The 12,211-nt window shown below is 36.0% G+C and overlaps 1 protein-coding gene across 13 annotated transcripts in view, besides 1 other annotated feature; it reads left to right on the top strand.

Annotated features, from left to right (window-relative positions):
• ZNF148 (zinc finger protein 148) overlaps positions 1 to 12,211 on the top strand; it is a 149,686-nt gene that overhangs the window by 32,190 nt on the left and 105,285 nt on the right. For 8 of the 13 annotated variants that reach the window (NM_001348430.2, NM_001348434.2, NM_001348425.2 and 5 more), the window contains exon 2: positions 11,927 to 12,007. The exons of 2 other annotated variants lie outside the window; for them this stretch is intronic. The gene's annotated coding sequence lies outside the window, so the exon portion shown is untranslated. Of the gene's footprint in view, positions 1 to 4,253; positions 4,344 to 11,926; positions 12,008 to 12,211 lie in introns of all 13 variants that reach the window. 3 more of the 13 variants (NM_001348428.2, NM_001348429.2, NM_001348427.2) reach the window with 2 other exon arrangements.
• Positions 2,525 to 3,123: an enhancer, noted in NCBI's record as "NANOG hESC enhancer chr3:125058886-125059484 (GRCh37/hg19 assembly coordinates)". NCBI's record gives its function as "activates a minimal SCP1, AML or CMV promoter by ChIP-STARR-seq in naive H9 embryonic stem cells {active_cell/tissue: H9 hESC(naive)}" and the evidence as "EXISTENCE:reporter gene assay evidence [ECO:0000049][PMID:30033119]".

Genomic DNA, 12,211 nt, shown 5'->3' with positions numbered 1-12,211 from the left:
GTTTAAAATGTGAGTCATGTAGTGTTAGTCTGCTGTGAAGTTAGCATTGCCAGGATGAATCTTCTACAGAAATTGTTACATTTCTGGTTTAATATAAATTAAGAATTTTTCTGGTAGTGCGTGAATGTTTGTTTCCTGTCTCCTTGCAGATTACTAGAACCTTTATTTAGGATTCCATCTTGACTTATTTATAATGTTGTTTTGAGTCTATCTCAGTTTTGTAGTGGCTGTTTTGGTTATTATATGCATACATGACTTAGTCTACTAATATCAACTTTTATACTTCAACAGAAGTGTGGAAACCTCACTTTTATTTTACCTTTCACCTTCTCCAATTTTAAATATAATTGTCTTGAGTATCAGATGGTGTTATAACTTTTGTTTCCATCATGTAATATGATTTATAAAACTAACCAAGAAAAAGTCTTGTTTATACCTATATTTCCGTTCTTTCTGTTGTTTCTTCTTTGATATTTCAACATTCCTTTTTAAAAAAATCATTTTCTTTATGTTCAGCAAATTTTCTTCAGCCAGTCTTTTATGGATAGGTGTGCTAGAGACTTTTTTTTTTTTAACTTTTCTTCATTTGAGAATATACTTTTATTTCCTTATTATTTCTGAAGGGCAGTTTCACTGGATATAGAATTCCCAGTTGGCAGTTGCATTTTTTCCAATATTTGAAAAATACTGTGCCACTTTTATTTTTGGCCTCTGTGGTTTGAGATGAGAAATCTGGTGTCATTTGAATTGGTGTTCCCTTATGGGTAATGTGTTGTTTCTCTCTGGCTGCTTTCAAGGTTTTTTTTTTGTCTTTTTTTTTTGTCTTTAGTTTTTGAATGTTTAATTATGATGTTAGAGTGAATTTCGTTAGGCTTATCCTCTTTGTATTTGCTTAGCTATTTGGATCTGCAAGTTAGTGTTCCTAAATTTGAGTACGTTTCAGTTATCATTTCTTCAAGTAGTGTTTGAGCCCCACTCCCTTTCTTCCTTCTTTATGAAACTTTGATGGTGTGAATGTTGGATTTTTTTTTTTTATTGCCCTGTAGTTCCCTAAAGCTACTACTTTTTTCAATTTATTTTCTTCTCTTGTTCAGATTGGGTGAATTCTACTTTTCTGTCCTCAAGTTCAACGATTCTCTTCCCCATGATTTCCATTCCCCCCCCCGCCCCGAAACAGAGTGTGGCTCTGTCACCCAGGCTGGAGTTAGTGGCACGATCTTGGCTCACTGCAGCCACCACCTCCCAGGCTCAAGTCATTCCCCTACCTTAGCGTCCTGAGTAGCTGGGACTACAGGTGTAAAGCCACCATGTCTGGCTAATTTTTATATTTTTTGTAGAGATGGTGTTTCGCCATGTTGCCCAGGCTGGTCTTGAACTCCTAAGCTCACGTAATCCACCTGCCTTGGCCTTCCAAAGTGCTGGGATTACAGGCACGAGCCACCATGCCTAGCCCATCTCTATGTTTTTATTGAGCCCACCTTAAAAATTTATTGTACTTTTTAGTTGTCTTAATTTTTTTCTTTTTAGTTTTTATTTATTTGCTTATTTATTTTATTTACTTTTTTTTCTAGGCAGTAGTGCAGTGGTGTGATCACAGCTCACTACCGCTCTGACCTCCCAGGCTCAAGCAATCTTCTTACCTTAGCCTGGCAAGTAGCTGGGACTACAGGTGTGTGCCACCATGCCCAGTTAATTTGTAAATTTTTTTTGTACAGATGGGGTCTCACTGTGTTGCCCACGCTGGTCTTACCCTCCTGAGCAGAAGTGATCCTCCTGCTTCATCTTCCCAAAGTGCTGAAATTACAGGTGTGAGCTACTGCAGCTGGCTTTGCTTTTTTTTTTTTTTTTAAATTTTTCTGTAGTAGGTATCTGAAGACTATGCTTCTTTTTTTAATAACTTCTGTTTCTTTGCTGAGATTTTCCATTTTTTCACTTATTTCTGGATAATGTATAATTGTGGAAACATTTTTATTATGGCTGTTTTTTTTTTCACTTGTTGCAGTAGAATTTGTTAATATATTGTTGAAACTTTTGCTTAAAAATTCTTGTCAAATTCCAACATCTGATTTACCCTCTACTTTGGCTTTGGTTGATTTTCTTTTCTCATTTATGGTATGATTTTCTTAGGTGTTTTTTGTTACATCATGGACATTTTTTTTTTTTTTTTTTTTTTTTTTGAGCCGGAGTCTCGCTCTGTCGCCCAGGCTGGAGTGCAGTGGCGGGATCTCGGCTCACTGCAAGCTCCGCCTCCTGGGTTCACGCCATTCTCCTGCCTCAGCCTCCCAAGTAGCTGGGACTACAGGCGCCCGCCACTACGCCCGGCTAATTTTTTTTGTATTTTTAGTAGAGACGGGGTTTCACCGTTTTAGCCGGGATGGTCTCGATCTCCTGACCTCGTGATCCGCCCGCCTCGGCCTCCCAAAGTGCTGGGATTACAGGCATGAGCCACCGCGCCCGGCCATCATGGACATTTTATCTGTTACCTTAGGAGGCTCTGGGCCCTATTTAAATTTTTATTTTAGGAGTGGGCTGTGGTTCTAGTGGCAGTTTAATTTTTAGAGACTTTGCAGTCTACTTGGTTTGTTTGATCCTACTGGAGCTCCCACTGGAAGGGGTTTCCCCATGCTGGGTTTCTGATTGTCTACAGATGGGAGAGGATTATGGTGGGACCCACCTACTGGTCTCTTCTTTTCTCGCCTGTCCTGGTAACTTTGGGCAAGTGAAGAGGTTCTTGGCCCAACCTGAGCCACTTGCTATGGCTGGGTCCCTGAATTTTGCCTACTTGCCTCTCTGTCTCTAGGTGGAAAACAGCCTCAGGCCAAATAGGGAAGAAGAGTGCTTCCTGTGGTCTTTATTGTCATTTGGGCTTCAAGTTGATCTCCTTCTCCTGATGTTTTCAGGACAACATCAGAGAGTTGTTGCCATTTGTTTTGGCGGAGGAATGTGACTATCTGAGCTGCTTTCTGTTGCTAGATTGGTGGTTGGGAAATGCCAGGTCTGGATTGTCTTCTTCTGTTGGGTGTGAGGACATGAAACACTCTGCTGCTCTTTTGTTTCTCCATTCCTTGGGTCCCAAATTGGTTTACTGCCTTTTTACCACCTTTGGATTTTCCTTTGCTTATTATTTCAGTGGTTTACAGTTGTGCTTCGTGAGTAGGGGCAGTAGGAGAACAGATCTAGGCCATTTTATCTGAACTGGAAGTTGAAGTCCCTGCATCATCTCAATCCAGGCAGTTATTTCAGCATTGAAAATAATGGTATATATTGTCTACGGCCATACCACCCTGAACGCACCCGATCTCGTCTGAAAATAATGGTATATAATTATGTGCTTTGTGAACTTAAAATTTATTTTTAATTTTTAATTTTTGTAGGTACATAGTAGGTGTATATGTTTATGGGGTACATGAGATATTTTGATACAGGCATAATATGATTATGGGGCATCCATCTCCTCGAGTATTTATCCTTTGTATTACCAACAATCCAATTATATTATTTTAGTTATTTAAAAATGTACAGCCTTGTTTACTTCTAAGCATTATATAAAATGTGTGCTTCACTTATAAACCACACTATCTGACACTCAGAAGGTTTTTGTGAGGTCAGTCATATCCAGCTCAAGAGGTTGCTAGGGAATAGATGCATACTGTTTTACTGTGCGTCTACACATAAACAGAATTTTGTTATTTAGTTAATTAAAGTGAGTTTTTGAATTCTGAGCATTTTCTTCAAAGATGTGTTTAATAGATTGTACTTAAGATGTTTCAACTATTCCCGTAATACGTTACTGCATTTTAGCACTCTTAAACATTTTTCAAAAAAAGACTGAAAATCTTGTATTATGCAACTGATTTATTCTAATTAATAGATTGGAAAAGGTAAGATAAATTGTCGTGCTTTTACATTGCCTAGTTTTCCAATGGAGAATAAATTGGCCCAAAATAAGAACATGTTCACCGTACATTAATAGAAGCTAGTGTTTCTGGCTGGGGATGGTGGCTCACACCTGTAATCTCAGCAACTTGGGAGGCTGAGGTGGGAGGATCACTTGAGGGTCAGGAGTTTGAGATCAGCCTGGGGAAATGTAGTGAGACTCCATCACTAACAACAACAACAACGGAATCACTGGGCTCCTTTGCAGCTACTTCTTAGTATTCTCTAATTGATTCTTATGGCAAATCTCAGTTTTCCTAATCAGATTAAAAATGATTCCCTTCGCTCAGTGACTGTATGATTTCTTTTATGTTTAGGCACACCTCTACATTGTGTTCAGTGCCTAGTGTAATTCTGGGCATGTATTCTAGACAGAGTAGATCGGATTGGTTCTGGCATTGAATAAGGTGAAAAATATCAAAAGATGGACTGGAAATGGAGTATGGCTTTTTGTGGCCCACTTACAAGTTTTTAAATGACCATATTTAATTATATTTCATATTAAAACTAGTAATTCCATTCTTGTTATTTTTGACTTGTGATAGTTTTTTTTTTTTTTTTTTTTTTTTGAGACAGGGTCTCACTCTGTCACTCAGTCTGGAGTGCAGTGGCACAATGTCGGCTCACTGCGACCTTTGCCCCCCAGGCTAAAGCGATTCTCATGCCTCAGCCTTCCAAGTAGCTGGGATTACAGGCGTGTACCACCATGCCTGGCTAATTACTTGTAATAGTATTTTAACATGTTTTTGATGACAAAGAATTGACACTTTAAAAATCAAAGTTAAATGAAGTGTTAAACTTTAATTTTTAAGTGGGCATTTCTATATTCTTTTCTAGGGTTCCCTTCATTATTACAGTAACTTTATGTAATAAAAATGATGAGTTTTCTCTGATTATATACATATGTACCTATCATTGTAAATAGCATCTTCATTTCAAAATTTATGTCTATTGGTGTTACATTGAACTTTGAAGATGTTTACTTTTTTTCTGACTCCTAGAATATTGCTAAGAGTAATGTTAAATATATCTTAATTTGAAAATGACCTTACCTGTGGTGTTATGTTAGAGTAGACATTTATTAGGAGGTGGAGGATCTGGTTGATGGCTTTTGTTTTTGATTTGGAGATAGGGTCTCACTCTGTTGCTCAGGCTGGAGTGCAGTGGTGCAATCCTAGCTCACTGCAGCCTCAAACTCCTTGGCTCAAGTAATCCTCCCACCTCAGCCTTCCTAGTGTCTGGGTGGCATGCACCACCATGCCTGGCTAACAAAAAAAATTTTTTTTTTTTGTAGAGCTGGGGTCTCACTATGTTCTCCAGGCTGGTCTCAAACTCCTGGGCTCAAGTGATCCTCTCACCTTGGCCTCCCAAAGTGTTGGGATTATAGGCATGAACTGCTGTGCCTGGCCTTAGTTGAAGTCCTTGTCTTGCCACTAAGATGGTGTGTAATCTTCGTTACTTAACCTCTTGAACCTGTTTCATCATCTAAAGAACTGAGACAAACAATAATACTTGCTCAGATAGTTGTGTGTGAGTGTTTAGGGGGTGTGGAATGAAATGTCGCATGTGAAAGCACTTTGTAAACTCTAAAGTACTTTATCAGAATATGGTGGTTTCATCTTTGAGAAGATTGTTTCAAAGTTTGCCTGGGTGATCTTGATCATCATAGTACAAAGTGTATCATGATTATTTACAAAATTAATGTTTATTCAGTAAAAACTTATGTAAGAATTAAACAGCTTTTCCTTAAGTTTGGTGGCTTACTAACCTTAAAAACTCATTTACATTATCTGGGGAAGGATTACATAGTTGCTTGTTAGTGCAGCATCCTCACTGTGATAGGTTAGTTTTGGAATGTTTCTTCTGGAAGCAGGTGATTTAGATTTAAAAGTTCTATCTCTTTAGTAGTTTAAAGTTTATAAAATGCTTATTTTTGTAGCATTGTTTATAACAATGCTTTTGTAGCATCACTTTTTCTAACATAGATGGACAGTTGGTTTCTTGTTTGACAAATGTGTATTGGGTAGTTGATTTGAAAAGGTCAAGGGTAGGTGAAAATTTTCACTTGATGGCTTTATTTTACTCATTTTGCTCAGCCAGCTTCTATATATCTGAGTGCTCCTTTGTAGGATTTTCTTTCTCAGCTAAGTGCAGTAACCACACTAATTACAAAGTTTTAAAGATTTTGGCTTGATTTTTTTTTTTTTTTTTTGTGAGAGTAGAAATGGAAAATGGCTTAAGAAGGGTGATTGCTGGCTGGGTGCGGTGGCTCACACTGGTAATACCAGCACTTTGGGAGGCCACGGCGGGTGGATCATGAGGTCAGGAGATCGAGAACATCCTGGCCAACATGGTGAAACCCCATCTCTACTAAAATACAAAAAATTAGCTGAGCATGGAGGCACGCGCCTGTAGTCCCAGCTATGTGGGAGGCTGAGGCAGGGGAATCACTTGAACCTGGGAGGTGGAGGTTGTGGTGAGCTGAGATTGTACCACCGCACTCCAGCCTGGTGACAGAGCAAGACTACATCTCAAAAAAAAAAAAAAAAAAGGTGATTTCTGGGGTGGTTGGTTTGAGTTTATTGGTTGGTTATCCTTGGGATAGATATGGTTATAAAAAATATACTATTAGGCCATTCAGATATCATTTAGTTCAAAATATATAAAGTATAACTCCTTAGAGGGAATCTTAATAACTTTAAATTTAAATTTGAAAGCAGTTACTATAAATTTAAAGAACACATACGTCTGTTCTTTGCATTGTCACTCTATAGAGATTCAAACCAAATTCATAGAAATCTCTTGCCTGGAACAAGTTTTTATTCTTTTTAAAACATCATTCAGAAAGGCTCATTAAATCATAAAAGTAAGAACTAATTTAAAAATATAACTTGACTAATGTGTAAATGTATAATGTGTAAAATGTGCTCTAGTTAAAAGATGCTAAAGGACTGTAAGCATTTTTAGTTTCAGATTCTTATGCCATGTGTGCTGTAATTTATCCTTTCATTGCTTTGGGCTTTTGATTTAAAGGGCAGAGGTAGCCTTTTTATTTGGTAGTGCTCATGGGAGCATAAACAGTTAATGTGTAAGCATTACACGTTTCATTGAAACTTTAAAAATGATTTTCTAGAAAGATTACCTTAATTAACCAAGAACTATGTTCTTTATCAATGAATGGCTTTTCAAAGGATGATCATACTTAGGAGTAACATTAAGGTTTTATTTATTGCTTCAGAAATTTATATTCTTGACAGAATTTTTGTGGGAGTTTCTTCTAACACATCTCTTATCTGGATCTTGCTACGTTAATTCATAAAACTTCATCTTTAGCAATCTTACTTTTCTAGGCAAAGATGACAGTTAAAACATAATTTGGTGGGCTAAAAGTATACTCTGCAAACAACGTAAAGATATACTTTGAAAATACTGTATCAGTAGAAACTGTCTACATGAAATGTGAAATATTTGAAAACATGAAATGTGAAATATTTGAAAATACGAAAGAAGCTCTTCCTATCTGTTGCAACATGCATGCAGTTTTTGTAGCTTTTCTGAAGGAGTACTTCTGAAATTTGTTACTAGCATTATTTTTAAACACAGAATGGAAATTAAGTTAGATTGGACTAACCTATTTATGTTGCTAAGAATTACCATGGTGCATTTGATACAGTGTTTCATAAAGTTTATAGTGGACTTATCAATAGGTTGAATCTCTTTATTGTTAAGACAGTCAAGTCTTTTTCTGGAAATTCTAGGTAAGGTAATGTTGCCAAACCCCATTTAGGCTGGTTTTGAGACCAAGTTTCGCCATTTTATTAGGTTTATGTGACCTTGGGTGACTTTTCTACATGCCTTTGTTTTGTTATCTGTGATTCCATAATTAGAAAGAGAGTGTTGTATGGTGGTTAAGCTTCTAGAGCCTGATTTCCTGGGAGGAAATTCCAGCTTTACTAATAATTAAAAAAATACTGAGTCTCTTATGTGTAAGGCACTGTTTTAGGCACTGGGATATGTCAGTGGATAAAACAGACAAAAATTTCTTCTCTTGTGGAGCTTATAGTTAGGGCAGAAAAAAACATGAATAAGTTGGTTGTGTAATATGTTAGGAGGTGGGCAGTACAGTGCAAAATGTATAACAATAAAAGGGGGATTGAGTGTATGTGGTGGGATGTTGCAATTTCAAATGGTGTGACTGGAAGAGGCCTCATTAACAAGACTTTAGCTAGACTTGTAGTAGCTAAAGGATTTAGTTACGAGGATCTCTCAAGGAAGAGTGTTCCAGACAGAGGAACAGCCAGTGCAGTAGATTCTGCTGTATGCTGGAGATTCTGCGACAATAAGGAGGTCAGGTCACTGCTGCTGGAGTGGAGTGAACAAGGGGAGAGGCTAGAAAATGAGGTCTGAAAGATGAGGGTGGGTGGTGGTGGAGGTGGTCGTTGATGGGTGGGGGATAAGCACAGGAGTGCATGTAAGGCCTTGTAGACCCTTATAAGGAGTTCGGGTCTGCCTCTTACTACTTTTGTATTCTTTGGGAAATTATATAACCTTTTAGTTTTGTCATCTGTAAAATGTGAATAATAACAATACTATCTCATAGGTTTGTTGTTTTGATTAAGTGATTTAATACCTGTAGTGTCCTAGGAACACTACTGAGCAGAGTCCAAAGCATATATTCATTGCTTACATATTGCATATATTCTTACATGTGGAATCAACATTAAGAGATCACCTTCTTCCTTTTCTTTTGAAAAGGTAGCAAAGGGAGAGTTAATTGCTCCCTGCTTTGATTTTTCTATGATAAATTTCTTATGCTTCAATTATATCACATTATTATCACAAACATTTACTCTGTATGTGCTTATCATCCTTGCTAAATTATGAATGCCTTTGGACAGAGACCAGGGTATTTTATTATGTCTTAGGAATCTTAATGTGTTGTAAAAATATATCATGTGATAAAAAATGTTGACTGAGTTAATGACAAAAATGTTGGCTTAATTAATAAATTGGACCACCTGCTAGTAAGTATATTGGAACATTGCCAGTCTATCAAAACTAAATAGCGGAAGGGTGGTAGCTAATGACTTCTGCAAAATACTTGTGCATTTTATTTCTGTGCCATAATTATTCAAATTGGTATTAGTAGAAAATTTCCTTAAATATTATATAGGTATACAAGTTTGTACCATGTAAAATGAAAAGTCTTTATGTATATTATTGTGTATCTATTAACATTTGCTGTCATTGGTTGATAGGAAACAAATACTACCTTGATTGATAGCATAGATACAATAAAACTCCTACCTTAAAATACAATAGTTCCCTACTTAACAGTGGTTTGATTTAGGATATTTTGACTTTATGATGATGCAGAAGGCATAGGCGTTTAGCTATAGGCATAAACTTGTGACCTATTGGGACATAACCTCATCATAAGTCAAGGAATATCTGTATATTTTTAGTCTTAATCTGTTTATATCTGCCCAAGTGTTTATAATCAAAGATTATTTAGCCAGAAAAATGTTAAAAGAATTGCTAAGGAGGAATATTCACTGACTGCTGAAGTGGGGGAGTAGGGCAAGGAAAGAGGAAGATCTGAACTGACTTGGGTGGTTGTCCAAGTAATTTTCTATCTGTCTTTTTGTATTTGCATGGTTTCCGTTTCCATCTTAGTAGGTTCTCTTCCCCCCTTCTTGGTTGAGAGGAGTGGAAGAGAAGAAAGGGGGATAGAGGCTTGAAGAAATGAAATTAGTAGATGATGCTAAATGAATTAGGGTTCCAGAGACAGACTATGTGACAGGTGACTTGGGGGAAATTGTGGGTTTACATGGTAGAGGAGTGGTTGTGTGGGAAAGACATTCCAGAATTTCTGTTTATAAATTTATACTTTGAGGTTATATTATTTTGTGTGTATGCACGTTTCCTTTTCCTTCTTGCTTCACTATTTTATTTTTGTTTTCTTTTTACATATCTAAGTTATATTCTGTGATGTGTAGCTGCAGTAATTTAGTGCTTTCAATAAAATGTGATGCAAGAAGGTGAGTATGCTTTTTGTGAAAATGTTTTCAACGGAATGTTAAGATTTCAAAAACATTTGTCCAGTCTATAGATGTTACTAGCTCATGATGAGATGTGTAATAATATCCTGATTGTGGATTAGATACATCACATCAACTTTTAAAGACTCACAATGTTAAAATGCATAATGTGAAGACATTTTTTTCCCTGTCTATAGGCTTTGCAGTGTCCTTTTCTATTCAATTTTATTCTTGTAATTAGCAATTCTAAAAGTTGAATATAGTAATGTATGTAGCAATATGTGTACAGAATATATAATATTCTAATAGAATAGTGAACAAGCAGTGCAATGCAGAAACAGTTGTTAAAAGAAGAATTTTAGACAAATTAAATTTAGCAGAGTGTATCTGTGCAAAGAACTATTCATGAATCAGGCAGCACTCTGAACCAGGAGAGGTTTGGAGAGCTCCACCCAGCAACATAGGCAGGCAGTATTTATACACAGAAAAAGCAAGTGACAAGCAGAAATAGCTTGATTGGTTACCGCTTGGCATTTGCCTTATACGGACATGGTCTTATCAGGTGGCAGTCTGTAATTGGTTGAGGCTTGGCTACTGTGATTTGCTGAGACTCAGCTACTTGTTACAAAAATATACTCTTAAATTAGGTAGCAGTTTGTTTACATAGTAAGTTAGGTTTAATTGGCTACCTAGAGAAGCAACTTTAAACCTAATTTAATTTAACATAATTTAGCTTTACTTTACCCATTTTTAATAGTGTCTAACAGTAGTATAGTTTTATAGCTTTTATTATCCTTTTGGTACTATTGCTATAGGAGTATGTACTTAAAATAACTTTGCATAATTGAGAGGAATGACATGTATATGCTTTTGAATGCTTGGCTGCAAAACATTGAGGCAAGCAATTAGGAGCTTAGTAGAAATCAAGTATTTTAAAATAGATTTTTTTTGTTTGTAACTACCTCAATAACAAAGCTACTGACTAGCTAAATACTGGAAAATGCTAAATTATCAGAAAGACTGTACTGTTTGTAGTCCTTGATAAAGCATATGTAAATACAGCCTTGAATTGATGTACTTGGTTATTTTCTAGAGATTATCAATTTCTAGAAAATATTCTGCTTTTACATTTATGGCTTTTATTGATGTGCAAGGTATTTATGGATCCCTAAACTTGTATTAGGACTGTTACATAAAATGCTTTATCTATTGTTTCTGAATAAAATTATATTTGGCTTGTTCTTTATTTCTGATAATTCAACTTTCAGTCTTCATTACTTTCATTTAATATACCTCAGAAAAATCCCAGTTACATGAATAAAGTGATCTGTGGTCGGCATCAATGCAGTACCAATGTGGAATGTTAATTTTCTGTGTTAGTCTCTGCTAAAAGGTTAGTTATAGCATGATGTTTAAAAAATATCGATGGACCATTTTAGCATTATTAAATACCTTTTGCTTTGAACTTTTAAAATGCTGTTTGTGTTTTCAAAAACTGCATCCTTAATATATTTAGATTTTTTCAGCTGAGGGAAATGTTACTGTAAGAGTTTATCAAGAAATAGTGCTATATGAGTGTTGGAGAGTATCAAAATATGATTTTAGTGAAACACATTTGTGCTTTCCTTCCTATGTTATGATATTTAAGATGATAGTCAAGTTTATTGTCCTGACTTCAAAGAAATCTTAATCCTTCACTGGAAGTTAAGTTTGAAAAAGTCCAATTTGTATGTGAGTCATTGTTGTGATATCATTTAGCATTTGATGGCTCATTGCACTCAGACTAAGTGTTAGTTGTTACTAATTTTATTTACTCTAACAGTATCTACCATGGAAAGAATTTTGGTAGACTTAGGACACTTAAATGTAACAGTTTTACCTGACTTCTTTAAGACTATGTTTAATCCTGATTCTTTTGGGGGTTAACCTGTATTTGTGTACTTTTGTAGGATAGAGGGAGGAATCAGCAGCTTGGAAATTCAAGCACGTGATCTGGCGGGATGGGCGTTTGCCTAACGTATTTAATGGAGGTAATTCAGCATTCTTTGAGTCAATCTTTAATTTTTACCTGTAATGGATGCCCATGTTACTACACATACTTACAATAACTGTTGGGTATAAGTGTGCATTTATGGCCAATCCCTTTTCTTTTTATATTCATATAAATAACATGGTATCACTATTATAAATATTATAAATAATATGTAGATATGGACATATGTACATAGAAAAGA

This window comes from Homo sapiens, chromosome 3, assembly GCF_000001405.40.
Source record: "Homo sapiens chromosome 3, GRCh38.p14 Primary Assembly".
NCBI classification, from domain to species: Eukaryota; Metazoa; Chordata; class Mammalia; order Primates; family Hominidae; genus Homo; species Homo sapiens.
This window is presented reverse-complemented; position numbering and strand designations above follow the sequence as displayed.